Here is a 24,615-nt window from a genome sequence, read left to right on the forward strand (position 1 = left end):
AACTAATAGTTACAGTGTTATTCACATAGAAGTCTCTTGAAAGATATTAGTGAATCAGAGACTAGCACAGCTATCTGGAAGAAGACAGGAAGAGAAACAAATCATTCAGAAAATATCTGTGTGATAGTATCTTGACTAACAGAGCGAATTCCCATGACATATACAGGAGACTTACAAGGGTTTTAACAAATTTTTACCAGCAGAAACTCTACCAGCTGAGATAGAAAGAGACTGAGAAAGGAAGAAATAATAAGAGAATGTTGGTCCCAAAATTCTACAAGCACAAAATGGATATTACTTAGCTGAGAACATGTCCTGCATTTCTTAAAAAGAAGAGGTGGCTCCAATGGCAGAGCTATCATCCTCTGAGCAAGTAGAGCCAGGAATCAAAGAACATTATTACTAGGTCTTGAGACCTTGTGTCATTTGCCCAACTGGATTTAAAAATTTTGGACTGTTGAATATTTGTTTTTCTTTCATTTTCTCACATTTTAAAAGGAAATATATATAACTGCTATTTTATCCTCAACTACTATTGCATGTTGGGAACAGATAACTTGTTTTCTAGTATCACAAGCCCACTGATGGGATTAATTACATCCAGAGCTTTATTCATACCTGATTTAGATGATTTAGAGAGTAAGATTTGAGACTTTGAGCTGAACACACATAGATGAGATTTTGGATTTAAATTTATTCATTAATTGGTTGAAAATTTGGAGATGTTGCTGTGGGGTGATTGCATTTTGCAAGTGGGATGGAACTGAATCTTTGGAGTCCAAAGAGTGGAGTACCATAAGCAGAATAATGGCCTCTCATTGATACCCATGTTCTAAACTCTGGAACCTGTGAATACGTTATCTGTCTTACATGGCAAAAGTAACTTTTCAGAAGTGGCTAAATTAAAGATCTTGAGATAGGGATTATCCTAAATTATTCTGGATTACCCTGTAATTACAAGGGTCCTTATAAGTGAAATAGGAAGGCAGACCATTCAATCTTAGGGTGAGTTAGTAAGAGAAAGACTGGATCAGCCATTTATGGCTTTGAAGATTCAATGGGGCCATAAGCCAAAGAATATAAGCAGCTTTTAGAAGGTGGAAATGTCAAGACAATTGATTCCCCTTAGAGGATCTAGAAAGAAATGCAGCTGTTCTGACATTTGGATTGACATTTTGATTTTGGCCCATTGAATTAAATTTCTGATTTTTGACCTTCAGAAATGTGAGATAATGATGTCAGAGATGCAGATATACCAGAGACTATTTATAGAGAATCATCTTCCAATGAGATTTCCAATCAGTGTTGAACATGCTTCCTTGTTTCCTGTTGTTGCTTATAGTAATGTCAGAGGAGGGAGATAAAACAAAGGAAGGACTGGTAAACAAAATATTAACACTTGATGGTTTTGAACATTTCTAGTGTTTTCATTTCACAAAGGATGATAACTTTCTGAGGAAAGATAAAGTTACACATACTCCTAGGAAAACACAGACCAAAGATAAAGCTGAAGATGTGACTAAAACATCTTTGGTGGAGACCTCAGAAAAATCAAGGTTGTATATCAGACAAAAGGCCTTCTAAAGAGATAAAATGTGTGCCTCATATTTCCTTACAGTCAAACAGTAGAGCTTTTAAGAACCATAAGGTCACTGTCCCTCAGCCTTCCCAGATGAAATGCAAAGTAAAGAAGGTCTCATCCCCAAGAGATCATGAACATGGATTTTATCTAATGGTACAGATCTTAATAAGATTTACACACTTTTTAAAGGAATTCCAGATTGAGATATGATACCGTATTGAACTGAAAAGGACAAAGATAACACAACATGAAAAGAGGGCTTTTGTCCCACAAAATTCTATCAGCAGCAAGTGAGTGAAAAGCAGCCCATGATACCTTTCATTAAAAAGGAAGGAGGACTCTGGCCAGACGCGGTGGCTCACGCCTGTAATCCGAGCACTTTGGGAGGCCGAGGCGGGCGGATCACGAGGTCACGAGGTCGAGACGGTCCTGGCTAACACGGTGAAACCCCGTCTTTACTAAAAATACAAAAAATTAGCCGGGCGCGGTGGCGGGCGCCTGTAGTCCCAGCTACTCGGGAGGCTGAGGCAGGAGAACGGCGTGAACCCCGGAGGCGGAGCTTGCAGTGAGCCGAGATCATACCACTGCACTCCAGCCTGGGCGACAGAGCGAGACTCCGTCTCAAAAAAAAAAAAAAAAATAGGAAGGAGGACTCATAGGGTGGAACCAAGAGCCCAGAAAAATTATTTGTTGGCCTTGAGATATAATTACAGAATTTACAGCATGTGACTTGCTGAATTTTAGATATAGCTTTGCACACATGACTACTTTTTCCTTCCTTTTTAAAACATGTTATCTATGCCAATCACATCATTATACATTGGGTGCATTAAGAGCAGACAACTGGTCACGTTAGTTTCAGAGATGAAGAAAAACTGTATTCATGGGGTTGTACTTAAGAAACCATACCCAAGGAGCCTCATTCACTTCTGTACTGAGTGTAGATATAGATCCGGACTTGAGCTGATGCTGTAATGGGATAAGACATTAGGAGGCCCTTTATGAGGAGGTAATTGTATTTCATTTATGGGAGAAACATATAATTGAAAGCAGGAAGGACCGGAATAAGAAGCCTCCAATATAGCCTCCAAAGTTTCCTTTCAAGGCATTCACATCTTTAAAGAGTCCCCTCTCATATTTTACCAGGGTTTGTCAATGTGCTAAATAGCACGTGGCAGAATATTGCTCGTCTTCTCTCTCTCTCTTCCTCTCTCTGTAGTTTTCTATCTCTCATTACTCTTTCTAGTAGAAATGAGCTGTCATTTTTGGAGCAGCTGTATGAATAGGATCATATGCTGGTGAGTAACTAACATTTTCAGGCACAGCTTGTGAAACTGTGGCCTGCCAGCCCTCAGGTGGGTGATCATGGAAGCAGATTCTGAAGCTGCAGTTAGATCTTGAGATCCTTGCTGCTCCAGAGGAGAGCTGAGATCTTTTTACAAGCGCTGAGCTAAAACCAGACAGCTCAGCTGCTGCTAGATTCCTTCAGAAATTGGGTGAGATAATAGTTTCATGGCAATTTCCTAAGCAGTAATATAATACTTACCCAGTTTTGTTTTTGTTTTTTTTCAAATTAGCTTACTTTGAAACAACGACTATCACTTTAAGATATAGGTAATCTCAGTCTTATAGAAAAGGTAAAATTCAAAATATCTTTTTAAATGATAATATTAAATATGATAAATATGTTAAATGAATAAAATTTAGGGCAAAACTCAATCCAATGTGCAGCATATTTTTAAAAAGATAATGTGTAAAATTCACTCTAAATAGCTGTGAATGCCTTCTGCTTATACTTTTTATTTGCAAGCATTTATTTTGTACTGCTGATTTTGTTCTTCAACTGTGAATTAAAAAGTAAATAAACAGTAAACTGCTGACTACATGAAACATTACAAATATGACGTCTTTCTGCCCTTGCCTCAAAAAGCGGTAAAATATACCTAGTTTTCTGAACATATTTTCTATTCCTAGTTTGAATTTTAAAGAAAAAGATAAATTTACATGAAATAACAAATCATAATAAAAATTAATAGTTTTAATTAATTGGAAAATGCAGTCTGGAACATAAAAATAGAATGACTATTTTATTATAATTTATCATACAGTTATACTACAAAGAAAAAGCAACAGCGTTAATTTTAAAAAGGCACTTTTTCTCTGTGATAATTTATTTGAGTATCCTTATTCTTGAGTATAACTTTTTAAATGTGCAATTTACAAAGCTCTGCAAAATGCCTCATTTATACAGGCTCATGCAAAGCTCTGGATAATTGTTAAGCAAGATTCTTCTATTTTCATTACCAGATATCAATTCCTTTGTCTATTTGATGCCATAGTTTCATTAAAGCTGTTTTTACTGCATCTTAAATTCACTACAATGCAATTCAGTTGTCTCATTTAAGATAGAAAAAGTATGATCTGGAAATACTTAAGTGACTTACTGGAGCACAAATGCTATTTACTGTCAGAAGAAAAATTTGAATTGTCATTACTTAAGTTTAAAACTTTTGCTTTTAAAAGTTATTCAGTAACTTAGCCACTTCTTTACACATATCCATACTTTTTTAGATATCCTATTTCAATAATTCTTGATTGCTCTAAAATATTGTCATTGCTTTGTAGTTTCTTGTATCTTAAACAATAATACTAATACATTTTATAATTGACACATGTAAAAAATACGAATCAGAAAGCAATTAAAAAGAATGGAATCATTAAGTCTTCATCATTTAAAATTCTGTTTTCTGTGTTTTTCATTTTTAAGTTTCTTTATTAATGTGGAAAAGCTTTGATTTCTTCCTTTGTTTATATTTTAAAAGATTTTTTTTGCAAAGTAAAATATCGATATGTGTTCTGATTTTACATGTGCTATAGTTTCTATATTTAATAATTAAATAATGAGGAATATGTTACAATTCTAATGTTTTCACCATATTCTTACTAAATATCTTCCACCTGTATATATATGTAAAAGTATATATATATATTTTTTTTGAGACGGAGTCTCGCTCTGTCGCCCAGGCTGGAGTGCAGTGGCGCAATCTCGGCTCACTGCAAGCTCCGCCTCCCGGGTTCACGCCATTCTCCTGTTTCAGCCTCCCAAGTAGCTGGGACTATAGGTGCCCGCCACCACACCTGGCTAATCTTTTGTATTTTTAGTAGAGACGGGGTTTCTCCATGTTAGCCAGGATTGTCTCGATCTCCTGACCTCTTGATCCGCCCGTCTTGGCCTCCCAAAATGCTGGGATTATAGGCGTGAGCTGCGGCACCCGGCCCACCTGTATATTTTTAATTACATGTAATTTAATTGCCTGAAATAACGGTTGTATCTTATTGTACATCCTTATATACAATCAGGTTCTTATTTTTCTTAGTCTCTTACTTTCTTGCCGATGCCTGCTCCAAATATAAGTTTTAAAAATACATGTGATGTCTTAAAAATAATTTTATTTTGGCAATACCAAGACCTACTCCAAGTCTTTGTTGTTGTCCTAGGTGTTTTTTTTTTTTTTTTTGTATAAGTTTCTCTATTTACTTTTTCCATTTTATTTTTGAATTACCTTCAGGATTAAAATGAAACGATTTGAATAACTTTATCACAGGCCATGAGAACTTAATGTGAGGCTCCTGTGGATCTGAATGGGCACTCCTCCCACCCACCTAGTTTGCGGGTCCAGTATAGATAGAGACTGTAAGACAGATGTGTCCCTCCCTGCATCTCTCTGCTTGAGGGTGTGTTTTAGCCACTAGAATGTAGTCAGATGTTCCTGCCTGCCGCATGTGCAGAGTTTTTAATGCCTAGGAGTGTCCTTAAAGGGATGCGGTTTTTGAGCTGGTAGATTAATAGCCCAGCTTCTTTTCTGTAAAGAGTATAATAGTGGTATCGAGTTCCAGTTTTTCGTGAAGACAACTTGCCAGTTATGAAACTCTATGGGTTTTCCTCCCTTCCTGCATCATTTTCAGACTCCCTGCATATTTCTTGGAATAACTTCTCAAATAAAAATCTTAAACACCAATTGTTGTGTCAGGTTCTACATTCGGAAGATCTTAAACTAGGACAACTAATATGCTTCAAACTTCCAATGATAATGTATAGACAAGAAGACAGCTCTGTCCTCTAGGCTGTGCTTTTAGTGCCAACTTTCTTAATAACATCACCTATTCTGCTGACACTCACTCTGGAGGAATAAAACTTTAGAGCCCCTGGCTAAACAGGATCTGAGAGGAAGGTAAAAGATCAAGGAGACAGAATCATTATGTCGGCATGGCAATGCGGTAGCTTGGAAACCTTTAAATGTTTTAGCCTGGGAAAATGTATTTTGAATCATCAACTAATTTTGGAGTATTTACTCAAATGTAGAGAATAAAATGTTTTCTATTTATATGAGGACATAGAAGGGAATTCACCAGAATTTCAGGATTTGTTTGAAAGTGAAGGGGATGTTTTTGTTAATTAGAACTCAGAGTTCAAAACAGCTCCTTTCCTGAGTGGTCTCTGAGAATCAAGTAGAACACAATTATCTGTTTTGGAAATTTTCTCTTGGGTAACTTGAAGAGTTCATCTAGAACACATCTTCCTTCAAATCTATAAAACATTGTAATTTTTAATGTGTGTATATTATCAACTATAGTAAATTTAAGAAATATATTACCTTAATATCTGCAAATTAAATAGTGACTGACTCATGGTTCCAACTTTCTATCCAAAGCAACTTTCATGTGCATTTCATGAGTTCATCATTTTGCAGTAATATCATACTGTGTAAATTGAGATTAAAGTGTCTAAACTAAGCCAAGTACTTATATTTATGCAGCTTTAATGCTATCTGTGCTTTAAGATTGTCGTGAAAAGGCAACATGATTATCATTATGCCTGTCATACCTATTATTGTCATCATTATTAGTTTTAGCTCAGTAGTTCCACATTTATTTAGTTTCTTGCAATATTTTGTTTCTTAAAGGCATACCATCTATGCTGTCAATCCTACATACAAATAGCGATTTTACGCCAATTTTAGCATTTAGCTGTATAAATCAATGTGTTCCTAGTGTCTTTTTTTAAAAAAAAAATCTACCTTTCCTCAGCCCCCTGCCAAGAAGCCTCACTTGCATTGGAATGGAAGTAATAGCCCACATTTAATATTAAAAATGAAGCAACTTATATAGTTTTAAAAACTTATATTTGAGGAATAGAATAAATTAAAATCAAATGTATTTTAATTCAAATTCAAAGAATGATTTCTAGCATTCAGCTTTAAAAAACCACTTATGAAAATATCTTTAATCTTGTAAAGAAATATTAATTATAGAATCACTGAACCCTTTGAAAGCTGATTTATTTTGCTTTCCTCTTTATAAGTTAGCTTTCAGAGAACTAATGATTTGAAAATATTAGAATAGTGTAGCATATAAGCTTTTTACCTTTAAAGACATTTAAAGTACTAATTCTATATTGACCAAATGTTTTCTAAATGTATAGGTCAAGAAAAACATTCAGATAATTTTATTATAAATGATGTGTTAAAGTGGCATTTTGAAAAGTTTACTATTATGAAATGAGTATTGATAGATACTGTCATCTTTTAAGAATAGTCATGGATGAGATCATAAATGAATATGTCAAAGTAGTTATAGAATTCCAATAAAAACTTCTTTTTCATTAGTTTACTAAATAATGGGAAGAGATTCAATACATGGAAAGGTTCCTATTTTTATGATTTAAATCAAGAATTTCTATAAATATGCAAATACACAAATACTATGATTATTTCTTGAAAATCATTTTTCTTTGTTTTGTAGAATAGTTAAAATTCAAGCAAACACCAAATTCAAAATCAAACGTTTAAATTTTAATAATCTCTTATGGCATTCCATATTTAACTCTCAGAAATTACATCTTTCTACCATGATGAGTTGAAGAATATACTGAAGAAATTTATCTAGGCAGAATAAAATAATACTGTGTTGCTGGTACTTATTGGGTATCACTTACAAGTAATATATTAGAAATTCATTTTCCACAGACACAAAAGCAAATATACACAAACATGCAGAGATGCTTAAACTCAACAAGATTAAAACTAGAGTAAAACAAAACTTAAACCAAATGGAGCAATTCTTTACATGGTTAATGTGGGAAAAATAAAAATACACTCCATATTTTACCTGAAATTTTTCCTACAATATCAATAATAATTATTACTTTTTTCTTTCTCAATATTTTAGTATTTTACACAAAACTAAAAAACATACTAGCTAAATTAATGAATAAAAATTAAACTCATTCAAAATTCAGCATAAGCAAAGTTCTTCAATATTTAATAGTTTGATTTCCACTTCTAGGGTGAAGCAAACACTATTACTTGACCATCCAGTTAACTCATTTTTCTTTTTATTTTCTTTCTTTCTTCCTTTCATTTATTTATTTATTTATGTATTTATTTATTTAATTATGAGACAGTCTCACTCCATTGCACAGGTTGGAATCCAGTGGCAGTATCGTGGCTCACTGCAACCTCAACCTGCCACTCTCATGCCATCCAACCACCTCAGCCTCCCTAGTAGCTGGGACTACAGGTATACGCCACAATGCCCAGGTAAATTAAAAAAAAAAAATTGTGGGGACAGGGTTTTGCCATTACATGCATGACCAGTTCTAACCATTGTTGACTTTATGGAGAGTGTAAAAATTTTGATTTAAAAAAAATGAGAGCAGTATTTGTCTAATTCAATTTATTTTCCACCCTTCGCTTTCCCCCTTTGGATAATGGGCTAGGCTGAAATTATGCTTGGAGTTGTTTCAGGAATCTTGAGGCAATGAGAGAAAAGTTAAAGAAACATAGAGATGTCAATGTGGATCTGAAGTATCACTGGGAAGCCAATCCAACCTAGTGTCTGCCAACCTAGTACTTTCTTGGAGTCACTTGTATGCCTAAATTTTACAAACACTTTTACTGCTTAAAGCATTGTCATTAATACATAATGCTTACCTGAATGATACTTTAAAGACAATCATGAGTTATATTTAAAAGCAAGAGTTATAAATTATAACAAAGAAAACATAACAATTACAGTTACGGATTAAATAGGTATATTTTCATTTTTGACAAGAAGCAAAAGGATAAAATAAAGAAAAAGACTGCAATCAATGAAAGTAAAAACAGAAAGATAATCATGGTTGTTTAAAGATTAACAAAATGGACAAATCTCTAGCCAGACTGATTAGGAGTAGAGAGAGACTGAACAAACTGCCAATGTCAGTAATGAAAATGGGGTATCGCTACAGATCCTAGTGACATTAAAGAGATGATAATAAATACAATAAAAATTAATGTTAATAACTTTGACAGCTTTGACAAAATGGGTACATACTTTGAATGATAAAAACTGTCAGGCCAGGCATGGCGGTGGCTCACGCCTGTAATCCCAGCACTTTGGGAGTCTGAAGCAGGTGGATTACGAAGTCAAGAGATCGAGACCATACTGACCAACATGGTGAAACCCCATCTGTACTACAAATACAAAAACTAGCTGGGCATGGTGGCGTGTGCCTGTAGTCCCAGCTGCTCGGGAGGCTGAGGCAGGAGAATTGCTTGAACCTGGGAGGCGGAGGTTGCAGTGAGCCGAGATCGTGCCATTGGACTCCAGCCTGGTGACAGGGCGAGAGTCCGTCTCAAAAATAAAAAAAATAAAAAATAAAAAAAAAGTCAAAGTTCAGTCAAGAAGAAAAGATAATCTGTAAAGTTCTATATATATGGGAAAAATTGGATTTTTAAGTTAAATATCTTACCACAAAAGTGAAACCTGAAACCCAAAAAGCATTAATGACAAACTGTACCAAATACTTAAGGAAATAAAGAGTACCAATTCTATATGGACATTTCCAGAAAACAGAAAAAGAGGCAAGAATTATAATCTGTTGTAAAACCAGGATTACTGTGACAGCTGAAACAGAAATTCCAAGAGGGTAAATGCAAGAGCAACATACTACAAGGATATAAATCCTTTTTTTTGATACAGAGTCTTGCTCTGTCGCCCAGGCTAGAGTGCAGTGGCGCGATCTCAGCTCACTGCAACCTCCGCCTCCCTGGTTCAAGCAAATCTCCTGCCTCGGCCCCCCAAGTAGCTGGAATTACAGGCACCCGCCACTGCGCCTAGCTAATTTTTGTATTTTTAGTAGCAACGGGGTTTCACTATCTTGGCCAGGCTGGTCTCGAACTCCTGACCTCTTGATCCACCTGCCTCGGATTCCCAATGTGCTGGGATTACAGGTGTGAGCCACTGTGCCCGGCCATAAATGCATTTTTTCAAATTAAAAAAAACTAAATCCAGCAATATGTAAATATGGCAATGCATTTTCACCAAGTTACATATATAAGAAGCAGCTACTATGCGTAAGGCTGAGATAAAACACCATGAAAGACCACCTCTTTACTCCTAGAGGTGAAATCTGGACTTTTTTGGATAGGGCACTGCCATGGATCACTGGAAGGCATGGAGATCTCTTTGGCAACGCACTTCAGGAACTTGCTAGAAATCCACCCTCTCTGATGCTAGTGAAATTTGGTCATGGGATCAGGTCTCCTCAGAGGTTCTCAGCTGCAAAACCCCACAGCAGAGATATCACCTATCAGCAGGTGATAGGAGATGGGTCCTTCTGGTCACCAAGCACTGCAAAACTCTAATGCAAGGGGAGCTGCATATGCTGCAAAAGCATGGTTCTGGAAATACCATCTGTGTTATAGAACCTGGGCATTAGAGAAACTGCACATGCTAGGGTCTTGGTGCTAGAAACTCACTATTTTTGCCGCAGGACTCTAGCGTGAGAGAATCTGTACATTCTATATAGCTTGGTACTGGAAATGTCATCCATACTAAGGTACCCTGGCACAAGAGAAGATGTACATGCTCTAGAACGTTGGTTTTGGAAATGGAAACCTTGCTACTACTGGAATTTAGTGCAGTAGAAACTGCATATGTTATAGAAACTTTTCCACAATAAAAGATGTAATTCAGGATCTTGGTGCAAGAGTTACTGTGTATGTTGCAGAAACCTGGTGCTGGAGAAATTGCCTATGTGCAGTTGCTGAGATCTGATGATCCATTATATATCGCAAGTGCTCAGTGGAAGAAATTAACTATACAATAGGAGATGGGTGCTGGCACACACTGGAACCTTCATGTCCTCATTCAATGTCCACCAGTGCTTTTTACTAACAAAGATTAACATCTTAACCATCTTAACAGCTGGCAAATAGAAAATATTTAAATTGCTGTGATACACTCTCACAGAGAAGAAATGAAAGATGAATATGAGATGGAAGGCAAAATATTGAAAACGGCAATACTAGTAGAGAACAACTGCGACAGAACAAAATTAAAATTGCATTTATAAAAAATAAGAAATTTGTGGGAAAAATTTGCTTACAGTCTGAGCAAGTCTTTTAGCTATAAGTTTAAAGTATTTTTAGATCAACTGCAAAAGGCATAAATAAATTAAAAATACAGTGTTTTCATGGATTGGGATAGAAATATGTTTAAGCTGTAATTCTTTCCAAATTTACCTATGAACACAATACAATCACCCAAAATCATAATATGATTTTGTACAAGTTGTCAAGCTGGTTATTTACAAAAAAAAAAAGTAAGTGGCTCAGCATAGCAAAATAATTTTGAAGTAAACATAACAAAATTGCAGGATTTACGTCATCTGAATGTATAATTTCTTATAAAGTTACAATTAAGGTAGTGCAGTGCTGGTAAAGAATGGACAAATTGGTCTTTGGAGCAGAAAAGACAGTGCAGAATTAATAATAAACAAACATACAGATAAATAAAATTCTGATATTAGATTTCACTGAAATTATTATTTTAAATACTGCTAAGAAAAGTAATGACAAGCCACAGACTAGAAGAAAATAATTGCAATACATGTATCTTATGGAGAACTTTTATTTAGAATATAAAAAGAGTTCTTAAAACTCAATAATAAGAAGGCACAAGACACTAGTAAAAGGCAAAAAAAATGAATCTTTAAAAATCAATTGGCAGTTTAATGGGAACAACATTGAATCTGTAAATTACTTTGGGCAGTGTGGCCATTTTCACGATACTGATTCTTCCTATTCATGAGCATGGAAAGTTTTTCCGTTTAGTTTGTGTCCTCTCTGATTTCCTTGAGCAGTGGTTTTTAGTTCTTGAAGAGGTCCTTTACTTCCCTTGTTAACTGTATTCCCAGGTATTTTATTCTCTTTGTAGCAATTGTGAACGGAAGTTCATTAATGATTTGGCTCTCTGCTTGTCTGTTGTTGGTGTGTAGGAATGCTTGTGATTTTTGCACATTGATTTTGTATCCTGAGACTTTGCTAAAGATGCTTGTCAGCTTAAGAAGCTTTTGAGCTGAGATGATGGGGTTTCCTAGATATAGGATCATGTCATCTGCAGACAAAGACAATTTGACTTTCTCTCTTTCTATTTAAATATCCTTTATTTCCTTCTCTTGTCTGATTGCCCTGGCTGGAACTTCCAATACTATGTTGAATAGGATTGGTGAGAGTGGGCATTCTTGTCTTGTGCCAGTTTTCAAGGGGACTGTGTCCAATTTTTGCCCATTCAGTCTGATATTGGCTGTGGGTTTGTTATTATTTTAAGGTATGTTCCTTTTCAATACCTAGTTTATTGAGAGTTTTTAATATGAAACAATGTTGAATCTTATTGAAGGTCTTTTCTCCATCTATTGAGATGATCATTTGGTTTTTGTCTAGTTCTGTTTATGTGACGAATTACGTTTATTGATTTGTGTACGTTGAATCAGCCTTGCATCTTGGGAATGAAGCTGACTTGATCATGGTGGATAAGTTTTTGATGTGCTGCTGGATTCAACTTGCCAGTATTTTATTGAGGATTTTTACATCTATGTTCATCAGGTATATTGACCTGAAGTTTTCTTTTTTCTTTCTTTCTTTCTTTCTTTCTTTCTTTCTTTCTTTCTTTCTTTCCTTCCTTCCTTCCTTCCTTCCTTCCTTCCTTCCTTCCTTCCTTCCTTCCTTCCTTCCTTCCTTCCTTCTTTCTTTCTTTCTTTCTTTCTTTCTTTCTTTCTTTCTTTTTTTTTTTTTTTGTATCTCTGCCAGATTTTGGTATCAGGAAGATATAGAACCAAAAAAGAGCCTATGTAACCAAGACAATCGTAAGCAAAAAGAACAAAGCTGGAGGCATTAGGCTACCCAACTTCAAACTATACTACAAGGCTACAGTAACCAAAACAGTATGGCACTGGTACAAAAACAGACACATAGACCAATGGAGCAGAATAGAGAACTCAGAAATAAGACCACACATCTACAACCATCTGCTCTTCAACAAACCTGACAAAAACAAGCAGTGGGGAAAGTGTTCCCTGTTTAATAAATGGTGCTGGGAGAACTGGCTAGCCATAGGCAGAAAATTAAAACTGGACCCCTTCCTTACATCTTATACAAAAATTAACTCAAGATACATTAAAGACTTAAATGTAAAACTCAAAACTATAAAAACCCTAGAGGAAAATTTAGGCAATACCATTCAAGACATAGGCATGAGCCAAGACTTCATGAAAAAGACATCAAAAGCAATTGCAACAAAAGCAAAAATTGACAAATGGGGTCTAATTAAACTAAAGAGCTTCTGTACAGCAAAATAAATTGTCATCAGAACAAACAGACAACCTACAGTATGAGAGAAAGTTTTGGCAATCTATCCATCTGACGAAAGTTTAATATCCAGAGACTACAAGGAACATAAATAAATTTGCAAGAATAAAACAAATAACCCCATTAAAAGTGGGTGAAGGACATGAACAGACATTTTTCCTAAGAAGACATTTATGTGGCCAACAAACATGATAAAAAGCTCGACATCACTGATCGCTAGAGAAATACAAATCAAAACCACAATGAGATATCATCTCATGCCAGTCAGAATGGTTATTATTAAAAAGTCAAGAAACAACAGATGGTAGTGAGGTTGTGGAGAAACAGGAACACTTTTACACTGTTGGTGGGAATGTAAAGTAGTTCAACCATTGTGGAAGACAGTGTGTGATTCCTCAAAGACCTAGAACCAGAAATACCATTTGATCCAGCAATCCAATTACTTAGTATATGCCCAAAAGACTATAAATCATACAACTATAAAGATACATGCACATATATGTTCATTGCATCACTATTCACAATAGGAAAGTCATGGAATCAACCCAAAAGCCTATTAATGATTGACTGGATAAAGAAAATATGGTACATATACACCATATAATACTATGCAGCCATAAAAACGAAAAAGATCATGTTCTTTGCAGAGACATGGGTAAAGCTGGAAGCCATTGTCCTCAGCAAACTAACACAGGAACAGAAAACCAGACACCACATATTCTTACTTATAAGTGGGAGCTGTACAATAAGAACATACAGACACAGGGAGTGGAACAACATACATTGGGGCCTGTCACTTGGTTTAGGGGAAGAGAGAGCATCAGAAAAAATAGCTAATACATGCTGGGCTTAATACCTAGATGGGCCGGGCACGGTGGCTCACGCCTGTTATCCCAACACTTTGGGAGGCTGAGGCGGGAGGAGCACGAGGTCAGGAGATCAAGACCATCCTGGCTAACTCGGTGAAACCCCGTCCAAAAAATTAGCCAGGCATGGTGGTGGGTGCCTGTAGTCCCAGCTACTCAGGAGGCTGAGGCAGGAGAATGGCGTGAACCCAGAAGGCGGAGTTTGCAGTGAGCCGAGATCGCGCCACTCCACTCCAGCCTGAGCGACAGAGCGAGACTCTGTCTCAAAAAAAAAAAACAAAAAAAAACCTAGATGATCAGTTGATAGGTGCAGCCAATCACCATGGCACACATTCACCTATGTAAAAAACCTACACATCCTGTACATGTATCCTGGAACTTAAAATAAAATAAAATAAAAATTAAATTAATAAATTAAATTATTATTAATTAATTAAATTATTAAATCAATTGGGACTTGGAGGCAAAGACGGGAGGATTGTTTTCAGGAGTTTGAAACCAGCCTGGGGAACATGGCAGGACCTCGTTTCTACAAAACACAAAATGGTAGCTGTGTGTGGTAATGCATGCCTGTCGTCCCAACTACTTTGAAGGCTGAGGTGGGAGGATTGCTTGAGCTTAGAGGATTAAGACTGCAGTAAGCAATGATTGCACCACTGTACTCCAGCCTGACAACAAAGCAAGACTCTGTCTCAAAAATAAAGAAATACATAAAATAAAATAAAGTTGTAATATAGTAATACAATTAAATCCTACTCTACGATAAAAAGAAGAAATAACTGTTGCACTTAACAGTATGGATTAATTTTAGTAGCATATGTTGAATGAAATAAGCCAAACATTATTTATATGAAATTTGAAAAGACCAAAACTAGACCAAAGAACCCCTTACATTGGAGACCAAAGAACAAAAAGCAAAGGAGTTATTGCTTGGGCCTAGGATGGAGGGACTGACTTTATTTGGCAGGTGGAAACCTTTCGAGATAACATTACTTGGGTGCTAATATTGAATCATACACTTAAATGATGTGTAGCTATAAAGATTATTAACAACAAAAAAAAACACTTCCTCTGTCTTATGATGAAGATTCCTTTACTTCTCAAAATGCCCTTCATGCATTGCTCAGTCAATCATCAACGTAGAGTGCCCTTTGTTTATCCTCTGTCAGGGAAGGAGCTTTGTACTGTTAGATATATTTTAATTCCTTTAAAATTAGAGCTGTGTTTTTCTCAGTTAGGGTTTACTATAAGGTCTTAACTAGCAAATATGAACATTAGTTATTCCAGGAGAAAACAACAAAGATAAAAAAGAAACAATCTAAAGAATTTAGATATAAAATTTTAATTTTTCATTAATAGTAGCAAAATAAAAGAAACCCTAAGTAGAATTCAGTACACTACATGATAAAAAGGTAGACCTTATTTAATGAAAATTAAAGTGTCAATGTTTAAAATTACTTTTGTTCAATTTCATTTTTCTTAATAATAAAATGTAGACCTTGGATAGAACCATTATGGTGTGCTCTTCACATATGAGAAAATCAATATGCCTTCAAACAAGAGCACATCTAAACTATTTTCTATTAATAATTTTTTACATTTTCATTAGAGAGTTCCAGTAAAAACCCGAGTTTATAATTATCATTTTGCTTGTCATCATCTATCTTTGAATAATACTATTTAGTTTGAAAGGTTAATTGGCTATGAGCCATCTATGATATAATGAATAATTTCAATCACCTGACTTGTATGCTACACTTAGTTTTCTGAAATATATTATCTTTCACTTCTGTCAGTTTGCATAGTTCTAATTCTTTAATAATCCACTGACCAGAAACAGATATGTTAACTTTAAAACACATGGCCCTAACACTGTTTTAAAAATATGTTCATACATTGATAAGTCAAGCTTTCTATAATATGTTGAAATATTTAAATACATATCTTAGTCAGACACTTTTGTGTTTGTTATAATTCTTAAAAGAATAAAATGTTTTTATACTTTATTGAGGAGGTAAATGCTAAGTATCTGAGACATTCAATTATTTATAAGAACTCATTCTCAGAGACACAAAAATGCTATCAAGCTTAAATTTCTGGAACTAGTAAATGTTTCTATGCTTTATGAAAATTTTATGGATTAATGACTGGAGAGAATGCTAAGATCCTCATGAAATTGTAGAACTGGGAAGGAGGACTAGTGCTATTATAGAAATTCTCTAAGTAAAATAATTTGTTCCTTGAGTTGACAGGAAGTTTAGTGGGAAAAAGTGGAAAGAGTTAAAGTAGGCCCAATCAAATACGAAAATTTAATGCATGAAAAGGTAGTGCTATTTATTGATATCTTAATAAACAGCATTGACACAAAAGGATAGCCATTAGCAGTACAATAAAATTAGATCCATAACACATTCCAAACACAAGAGTGAATGTCAAAATGATCAGCCATATAAACATAAAAAAATGAAATAATAAAATACTGGAAAATACTTAAGTGAATTCCTTCATACTCTGGGTATAATAATATTAAACTATGCTTCAAAAACTGGGTGCAGAAAAGATAAATTTGATTAATTCAGTAATATTGCCAAAAACTTTTACATGCAAAATAACAAAATCCTAAGTAACTTCAAGAGTAAAATGAGAAACTGAAAAAAAGTATATCATAAAGGATTTATGCCATTAAATAACATTGTTATTTAATCACCTCCCACCCAGTAGCAGAATTAGTAGATTTTATGATAGTTTTATTTTTAATTTTTTGAGGATTGCATTTCTAAGTAGCTTTTAAAAATTACTGGAAAAACGGAATGAAAATCCAGGAGAAAAAATATGCAAAAGGTATGAACAGATAATATTAAAGTAATATAAACATTGCCTTACACATGTGCAAGACGTCCAGTTTCATGCAATAAGAGATTTACAAGTTAAACCTAGATTGAAACATTTTTCTCACCTATTAAAATTACAAAAATTCAAAATTTTGATAGAATACTGTGCTGGTAAAACCATGCCAAATAGCCACTCATATATGGCCAAAGGGAAGGAGGAATGGTAGAATTTCTATGGCTGGAAATATGGCACTAAGCAGAGAAACTGATGCAGTAAGCCCACTACTAAGAAATTCCTTGAAATTACACACCTAAAACAATATGAAAATAATCACAGTTATTAATTGTAGCATCAACTATAAGGTCACACTATTGGAAGTAATCTTAATGCTCACACATAAAAATAGCTAAATAAACTAAGGTATAGCCACACAATTTTTTACAATGCAGAGATTTAAAAAAAGGAAAAATGTCTCTATCAACTGCTAAGGAATGATAGCAAGGATATATATTGTTAAGTAACAAAGAGGAAAGTGTAAAGTAGTGTAAATAGTGTGTTGCCATTTATAGTAAATACCTTGGCAAAAATAAGCAAAGAAATGATAAAGCAAATGTTATAAATCTGGTTACCTAAAGAGAATGATTGATAAATGTAAGAAATAATGGGAAAGGGTTTTTAATTTTGAAATTATGTTACCAATTTATATATTTCAGTAGATATAAATGTTAAGAAATGAAAAAGAAAATTCGAAACAATGCAAAAACAAAATATATTAAATTGATAACATAAATACATTGAAGAAAAAAATAATACAAGTAACTTTGACATGTATTTGAATCCAAAGACAAAAAGAAACTTAGATATTTTGAAAAGGAAATTTGTTTGCTCTCATATGTTTGTTGCACCACTGTTTACAGTAGGTAAGATTTGGAAGCACTCTAGGTGTCCATAAACAGGTGAATGGATAAAGAAAATGTAAACATCCACAATGGAGTACCACTCAGCCATAAAAAAAGAATGAGATCCAGTCATTTGCAACAACATGGATGGAACTGGAGATCATAATGTAAGTGAAATAGGCACAGAAAGACAAACAATGCATGTTCTCATTTATTTGTGGGATCTAAAAATCAGAACAATTGAACTAATGGACACAGAGAGAGGATGGTTACCAGAGGCTGGGAAGGGTAGTGGAAGATTGGGAGGGGAGATGAAGATGGTTAATGGGTGCAAAAAATAAGAAATAAAAAAGAATGAATAAGATCTACCATTTGATAGCACAATAAGGTGACTATCATCAATAATAACTTAATTGTATATTTTTAAATAACTTAAATAATGTAATTGGATTATTTGTAATTCAAAGTATAAATGCTTGAGGGAATGGATACCCCATTCTCTCATTCTCTATGATGTGCTTATTTCACATAGCATGCCTATATCAAAACATCTCATATACCCCATAAATATATATACCTAATATGTATCCACACAAAATTAAAGAAATAAATTTTGATATTTTCTTTAAATATATTTAATTAACCAATAAAGATCATATATATTCTGATTACTCAGTGTGATAATTTAATATATACAATATTGAGTAATAATTATCAAAACAAATAGGGGCCTGCCTCTTAAAAAGAAAGATATTTTGAACCCAACTTCATAGGTTTGTTGTTCATAGTGCAGTTGGTATAACACTTTTGAAAATATATTAAACAAAGGGTAAGTATATTAATATATTTGAGAATTCTCACTGTGGGAAATGGAGAATACATGTATGTAATGGCATAAGTTTAGATGGATATTAGAAGTAGCAGAATAAACCCATAATTTTTATTTTAGAGCTTTATTGAGATATAATGCATATACTCTTCACCCACTTAGGATGTGCAATACAATGAAGTGTTCTCAGAGTTGTGCCTCCATCATCACAATCAAGTTTAGAACATTTTCATTAGCCCCAAAAGAAACTCCATAACCAATAATGGTTATTCCTTATTTCTCTAACTCCTCCACCGCCAGTTCTCCTCTCCCCAACCTTCCTGGCCTTATACAATCACTTGTCTACATTTTTTCTCTATATGTTTGCATATCTAAACATTTAAACAATTATTATATCTAACTTTAATTGTATATCCTTTGACCAGGATCACCCAATCCCTCTCCTCCTACTTAGCTCAGCCTCTGGTAACCACTACTCAACTCTCTGCTTCTACGAGTTCCACTTTTTAGATTCCACATATGTGAGATCATGTGGTATTTCTGTCCTGGCTTATTTCTCTTAGCATGAAATCATCCAGGTTCATTGATGTTGTCACAAATGGTGGGATTTTGTTCCTGTTTGTGACCGAATACTCTTCCATTATGTAAATATACCACATTTTCTTTAGTGATTCTTCTGCTAATAGACACTTAGGTTGATTTCATGTCTTGGTTATTGTGAATAATGCTGCAATGAATGTGGAAATGCAGGCATCCCTTCTATATACTGATGTAATTTTCCTTGGATTTATATGCAGTACTGAGGGAGTGGATTGTATGGTAGTTCTATTTTTACATTTTCTGAGGAAACTCCATGCTGTTTTCCCTAATAGCACTAATTTATATTCCCACTAACAGTGACAATTTTGGCACATTATTTACAATATTTATCTTCTGCCTTTTTGATAATAGTAATCCTAGTAGAAATTAGGTAATATTTCATTTTGGTTTTGATTTTCCATATCCTAATGATTATGATGTTGAGCATATTTTAATATACAGGTTGGCCATTTGTATGTTTTCATTTGAAACGTATCTATTCAAGTCTTTTAGCCATTTTTAAAAGGGTTATTTGTTTTCTTGCTATTAAGTTCCTTATATATTTTGAATATTAACTCCTTATCAGATGTATATTTTGCAAATTTTTTTCCATTTTGTAGATTGCCTCTTCACTGCTGTACAGAAGCTTTTTTCACTTTAAATAGTATAATTTGTCTAATTTTTACTTTTGAGGTTTTAAATAGAAAATCCTTGACCAGCCCACACGAATGTCGTGGAGCTTTTCCCTAGTAGCTTTCACAGTTTGGGATCTTACATTTAAATATGTAATCCATTTTCAGTTGATTTTTGAATATGGTGAGACATAGAGAGTCTTGTTTATTCTTCTGCATGTGAATATCCAGTTTTCACAGCACCATTTTTTGAGGAGGCTATCTTTTTCTCATTGGGTGTTCTTGCCAGATTTATTGAAAATCAGTTGGCTATAAATGCACATATTTATTTTTGGGCTCTCTGTTCTGTTCCATTGGTCTATGTGTCTGCTTTTATGCTACTACCATAATGTTTTGGTTACTATATCTTTATAGATAATTTTAAAGTCAGGTACTGTTATGATTTCAGCTTTGGCTATTTGGGGTTCTTTTGTGATTTGATACTAATTTTAGGATTTTTTTTTCAATTTATGTGAAGAATGCCATTGGTGTTTTCATGAGCATTGCATTAAATCTGTAGATCACTTTGGGTACACTTTAACAATGTTCATTCTTCTATTTAATGAAAATGAAAAATCTATATATTTATGTTTTCTTCAATTTATTTAATCAATGATTTATAGTTTTCAGTGTAAGATCCTTCACCTCCTTGGTTAAAGTTTTTTCTAGGGTTTTTTTTCTAAATAGCTGTTGTAAATGAAATTGTCTTCTTGAATTCTTTTTTTCAGATAGTTTACTATTAGTATATAGAAATGTAACTGATTTTTTGTGTGTTGATTTTGTATCTTGCAACTTTACTGGATTTATATATTAATTCTAACTGTTTTCTGGTGTAATCCATAGAGTTTTTTATATGTAACATCATGTCATCTGCAAACAGATAATTTACCTTTTTAATTTCTCTTTCAATCCCTTTTATTTCTTTCTTCTGTCTAATTGCTCTGGCTAGGACTTCTAGTACTATGTTGAATAGAAGTGATGAAAGTGGACATCCTTGTCTTGTGCTAGATTTTAGAGGAAAAGCTTTCAACTTTTCTCTGTTCCGTATGGTGTTATTTCTAAGTTTGTCATATATGGGTTTTATTGTGTTGAGGTACATTTCTTCTGTAACTAATTGTTGAGAGTTTCTTTTATTTTCATGAAGGGATGTTAAATTTTGTAAAATGTTTTTCTGTATGTATAAAATGTTTTTCTGTATGTATAAATCATATTTCTAGCCTATTTTATTTATTTCATTCTGATCTTTATTATTTCCTTTCTTCTAGTAATTCGGGATATAATTTGTTCTTGTTTTTTTTTTTGGTTCTCTGAGATGTGAATTTTGTCCTTCATTCTATTAATGTGGTGTATTATGCTTATTGATTTGCATATGTTGAACTATCCTTGCATCCCTGGGATGAATCTTACTTGATCATGGTGAATGAATGTTTTAATTTGCTGTTGAATTGGGTTTGCTAGTATTTGGTTGAATATGCTTGTATTATTCATGTTCAGCAGGAATATTAGCTTGCAGTCTTTACTGTTGTGGCTGTGTTCCTTGTCTGGTTTTGGTATTAGGGTAATTCTGGAATCATAGAATGAGTTTGAAAGTATTTAATCCTCTTAAATTTTTTGGAATAGTTTGAGAAAAAATAGTATTAATTGTTTTTAAAAATATTTGGTATAATTCAGCAATGAAGATAACACTATTAGTTTTTTTGCGTTTTTTTTGTTTGTTTGCTTGTTTGTTTTTTGTATGGGAGTTTTTTAACTACTTATTAAATTTCCCTACTTGTTACTGGTCTGTTCAGATTTTCTGTTTCTTCCTAATTGAATTTTGGTAGGTTACATGTTTCAAGGAATTTATCCATTTTTTTAGGTAATTCATTTGTTGGTGTATAATTTGTTCATGATAGTCTCATAATCATTTCTATTCCTTTGGTATCAATTGTAATGTATTATTTTCTTCTGTTATTTTATTTATTAGAGTTTTCTCTGTTTTTCTTTAGCTAAAAGTTTATTAATTTTGTTTATCTTTTTAAATACTAACTCTTCATTTTGTTGATATTTTGTATCATATTTCTAGCCCATTTTCTTTCTTTCTTTCTGACTCTTACCATTTCCTTTCTTCTATTAATTTGAGGTATAGTTTGTTCTTGTTTTTTCAGTTCTCTGAGATGCAATGCTTGTTTATTCAAGATCTTTTTTTTCTTTTTGGTTGCTGGAATGTATTGCTATGAATTTCCCTCTTAGGACTGTTTTTGCCATATTCCGTAGGTTTTGATATGTTGTATTTACATTTTGTTTCCAAACATTTTTTGAATTTTCCTTTTAATTTCTTCAGTAATATAGTGGTTATTCAGGATTACATCATTTCATTTCTATATATTTGTGAAGTTTCTGAAATTCCCCTCATTATTGATTTCTAGTTTTTTAAACTCCTTTAAATTTAAGACAGAGTGAGACTCCATCTCAAAAAGGAAAAAAAAAAGACAAAAGAAAAAAGCAAAGAGAAGAAAAACTTCAGCCAAATTAAATTTAAAGGAGTTTAATTGAGCAATGAACCATTCGCAAATCAGGCAGAACAAGTTTGTAGACTAAAAAAGGAAGTGACATACAGAAATCAGAAGTGAGGCACAGAAACAGCTAGATGGTTATATGTTGGCATTTGCCTTGTTTGAACACAGTTTGAACACTCAACAGTCTATGATCAGTTGAAGTATGGCTGCTGGCATTGGCTAAGACTCTGCTATTATTACAGGCACATACTCCTAAGTTAGGTTTTCAATCTTGCCTACCTATTAAGTATCCACAAGGACTCAGAGATAAAAGTATGGAGTCTTTCTCAGGCCATACTTCGTTCACTTTAACAGAAAGCATATGTTAACATGTGTGGAATCATTCCTTTAAGTGTTCTTTGGTTAAAACAGGAAAACCATATAACTGCTCATTCTCCTTTTGGTGCCGTTTTTATGCAGGCATTTTGACAACTGCTATCTTTCACATTTTACCTACACCAAAAATCAGTTTCTTTGTTTCCTTAAGAAATTTACTTACTCTCTGTAAATTTGAAAATTTGATCTTTCTTCTTTCTTTTCTTTCTCTCTTTCTTTTCTCTTTCTTTCTTTTTTTCTCTCTCTCTCCTTCCTTCTTTCCTTCCTCCGCTCTTCGTTCCTTTCTTTTCCTTTCTTTATTTCTCTCTATTTCTCTCTTCCCACCCCTCTTTTTCCCCCTCTCTCTGTCTCTCTCTGTAAATTGAGCTTATTTAAAGTTTTTTTTTTTTTAATGTAATCTGTCTTCATAAACCTGAGTAGGTCTGAAAGTTCAGGGAATTGTTTTTAAAATATCAAGTGACTTTTTCATTTGATGTGCATTTAAATGTTTTCTGGGGTGTAAAATTACAATCTTCGTGGTCATTTGTATTCACCATTGACATACTAGTAACTTACTTTGGCTGAGGCTTAGGCTTCATTTGCCGATGGACTATAGACTTTTAATTGAGAGCATGATGAGAATTGTTTTTCCTTCTTTTCTTTGTTTTAAGACAATGTTTTATGTTTTCCCACTGAATATTAAAATTTGTATATCTAGACATCTCACACCGTGATTTCTCCCAGTGAAAAATTCTTAGGAGAAAAGCATTCATCTCAGTTAAATGCTTATATGACAAAAATTTCAAAGTTTTGAAATTCTGATTAGCCTTACTGCAGGCAAAGTCTCTTAGAAGAAAGACTCTATCCTCATATTCTCAGGTCAGGAGCAATGTATTCATAATATCAAGGACTATAGAGCCATAAATATGGCTTCCAATCAGTTCTGGTTCTAATCTGTCAAACCTATTTACACAGAAAAATAATGTTTGATAACGGCATATTAAATATGCTTTTGTTTGCAGACTTTTTGTGGCGTTGTTTTTATTTTACTCTGTATTTAAATTTGTTTCTTTCTACAAATTCTCCTTTTGTCTTTGAACTATACCAAAAGATCTAACCTTTCCTGATTTATATTTTATAATATTGATTATTTAAAGGAATTATCCAAAATGTATTCAAGGATAGAGCTTAATATGATGCTTAATCAATTTTCTAATAGTTTTTTTTAGTGTATACATGGAATTAAATCTAAGCAACCAGTCAAGAATCTAATACATTTTTTTCTCTTATTTTGGTATCTAATTAGCTGTTTTCTTTTCTTATTGCAAGAGCACGCTCAGTAAAATGTAGAATCAAAATAAAATGAAATTATAGATATAATGTTGAATTAAATTAATTACAGATATAATGATATATTGCAGGTCTTCCTCTTTGAAGATTATAATACAAGTGTAACAAATGCTAATAATTAAATTAGAAAAAACCATAAATACTTACAACAGAGTAAAAATGTTGTATCCCATTTAAAATATATGTGTGATTCTATATTTACTTAATGTAGTTACATTCAGTCATATTTGGTATATAGTATAAATCTACCTCCTGCTCAAGAAGTTTCTTGCCACAATACCTCTCAATCATAGTTTTGTAAGAGATGTTCAATTATCACACTGCAACTTTGGAGCTTCCATAAAAAAAGATTGGCAAATATAGGAGAAGAATGAAACTTAAAATCTGGAAAATGAAAAGAAGCATTTAATTTAAAAAAATCAAATTTAGTCATACAATAAAGTTCCCAGAGGAGGGAGAGGAAGA

At 33.6% G+C, this 24,615-nt stretch overlaps 1 non-coding gene across 1 annotated transcript, besides 2 other annotated features; it reads left to right on the forward strand.

Annotated features, from left to right (window-relative positions):
• Nucleotides 1,512–2,013: an enhancer, noted in NCBI's record as "H3K4me1 hESC enhancer chr21:24433689-24434190 (GRCh37/hg19 assembly coordinates)". NCBI's record gives its function as "activates a minimal SCP1, AML or CMV promoter by ChIP-STARR-seq in naive H9 embryonic stem cells {active_cell/tissue: H9 hESC(naive)}" and the evidence as "EXISTENCE:reporter gene assay evidence [ECO:0000049][PMID:30033119]".
• Nucleotides 2,014–2,513: an enhancer, noted in NCBI's record as "H3K4me1 hESC enhancer chr21:24434191-24434690 (GRCh37/hg19 assembly coordinates)". NCBI's record gives its function as "activates a minimal SCP1, AML or CMV promoter by ChIP-STARR-seq in naive H9 embryonic stem cells {active_cell/tissue: H9 hESC(naive)}" and the evidence as "EXISTENCE:reporter gene assay evidence [ECO:0000049][PMID:30033119]".
• Nucleotides 19,429–19,537, forward strand: MIR6130 (microRNA 6130). Its single transcript, NR_106746.1, has one exon. It is a non-coding gene; the product is annotated as a microRNA 6130 (primary transcript).
• The last annotated feature ends 5,078 nt before the right edge of the window (nt 19,538–24,615 follow it).

The sequence above is a fragment of the Homo sapiens genome, chromosome 21 (assembly GCF_000001405.40).
Source record: "Homo sapiens chromosome 21, GRCh38.p14 Primary Assembly".
Taxonomy (NCBI): Eukaryota; Metazoa; Chordata; class Mammalia; order Primates; family Hominidae; genus Homo; species Homo sapiens.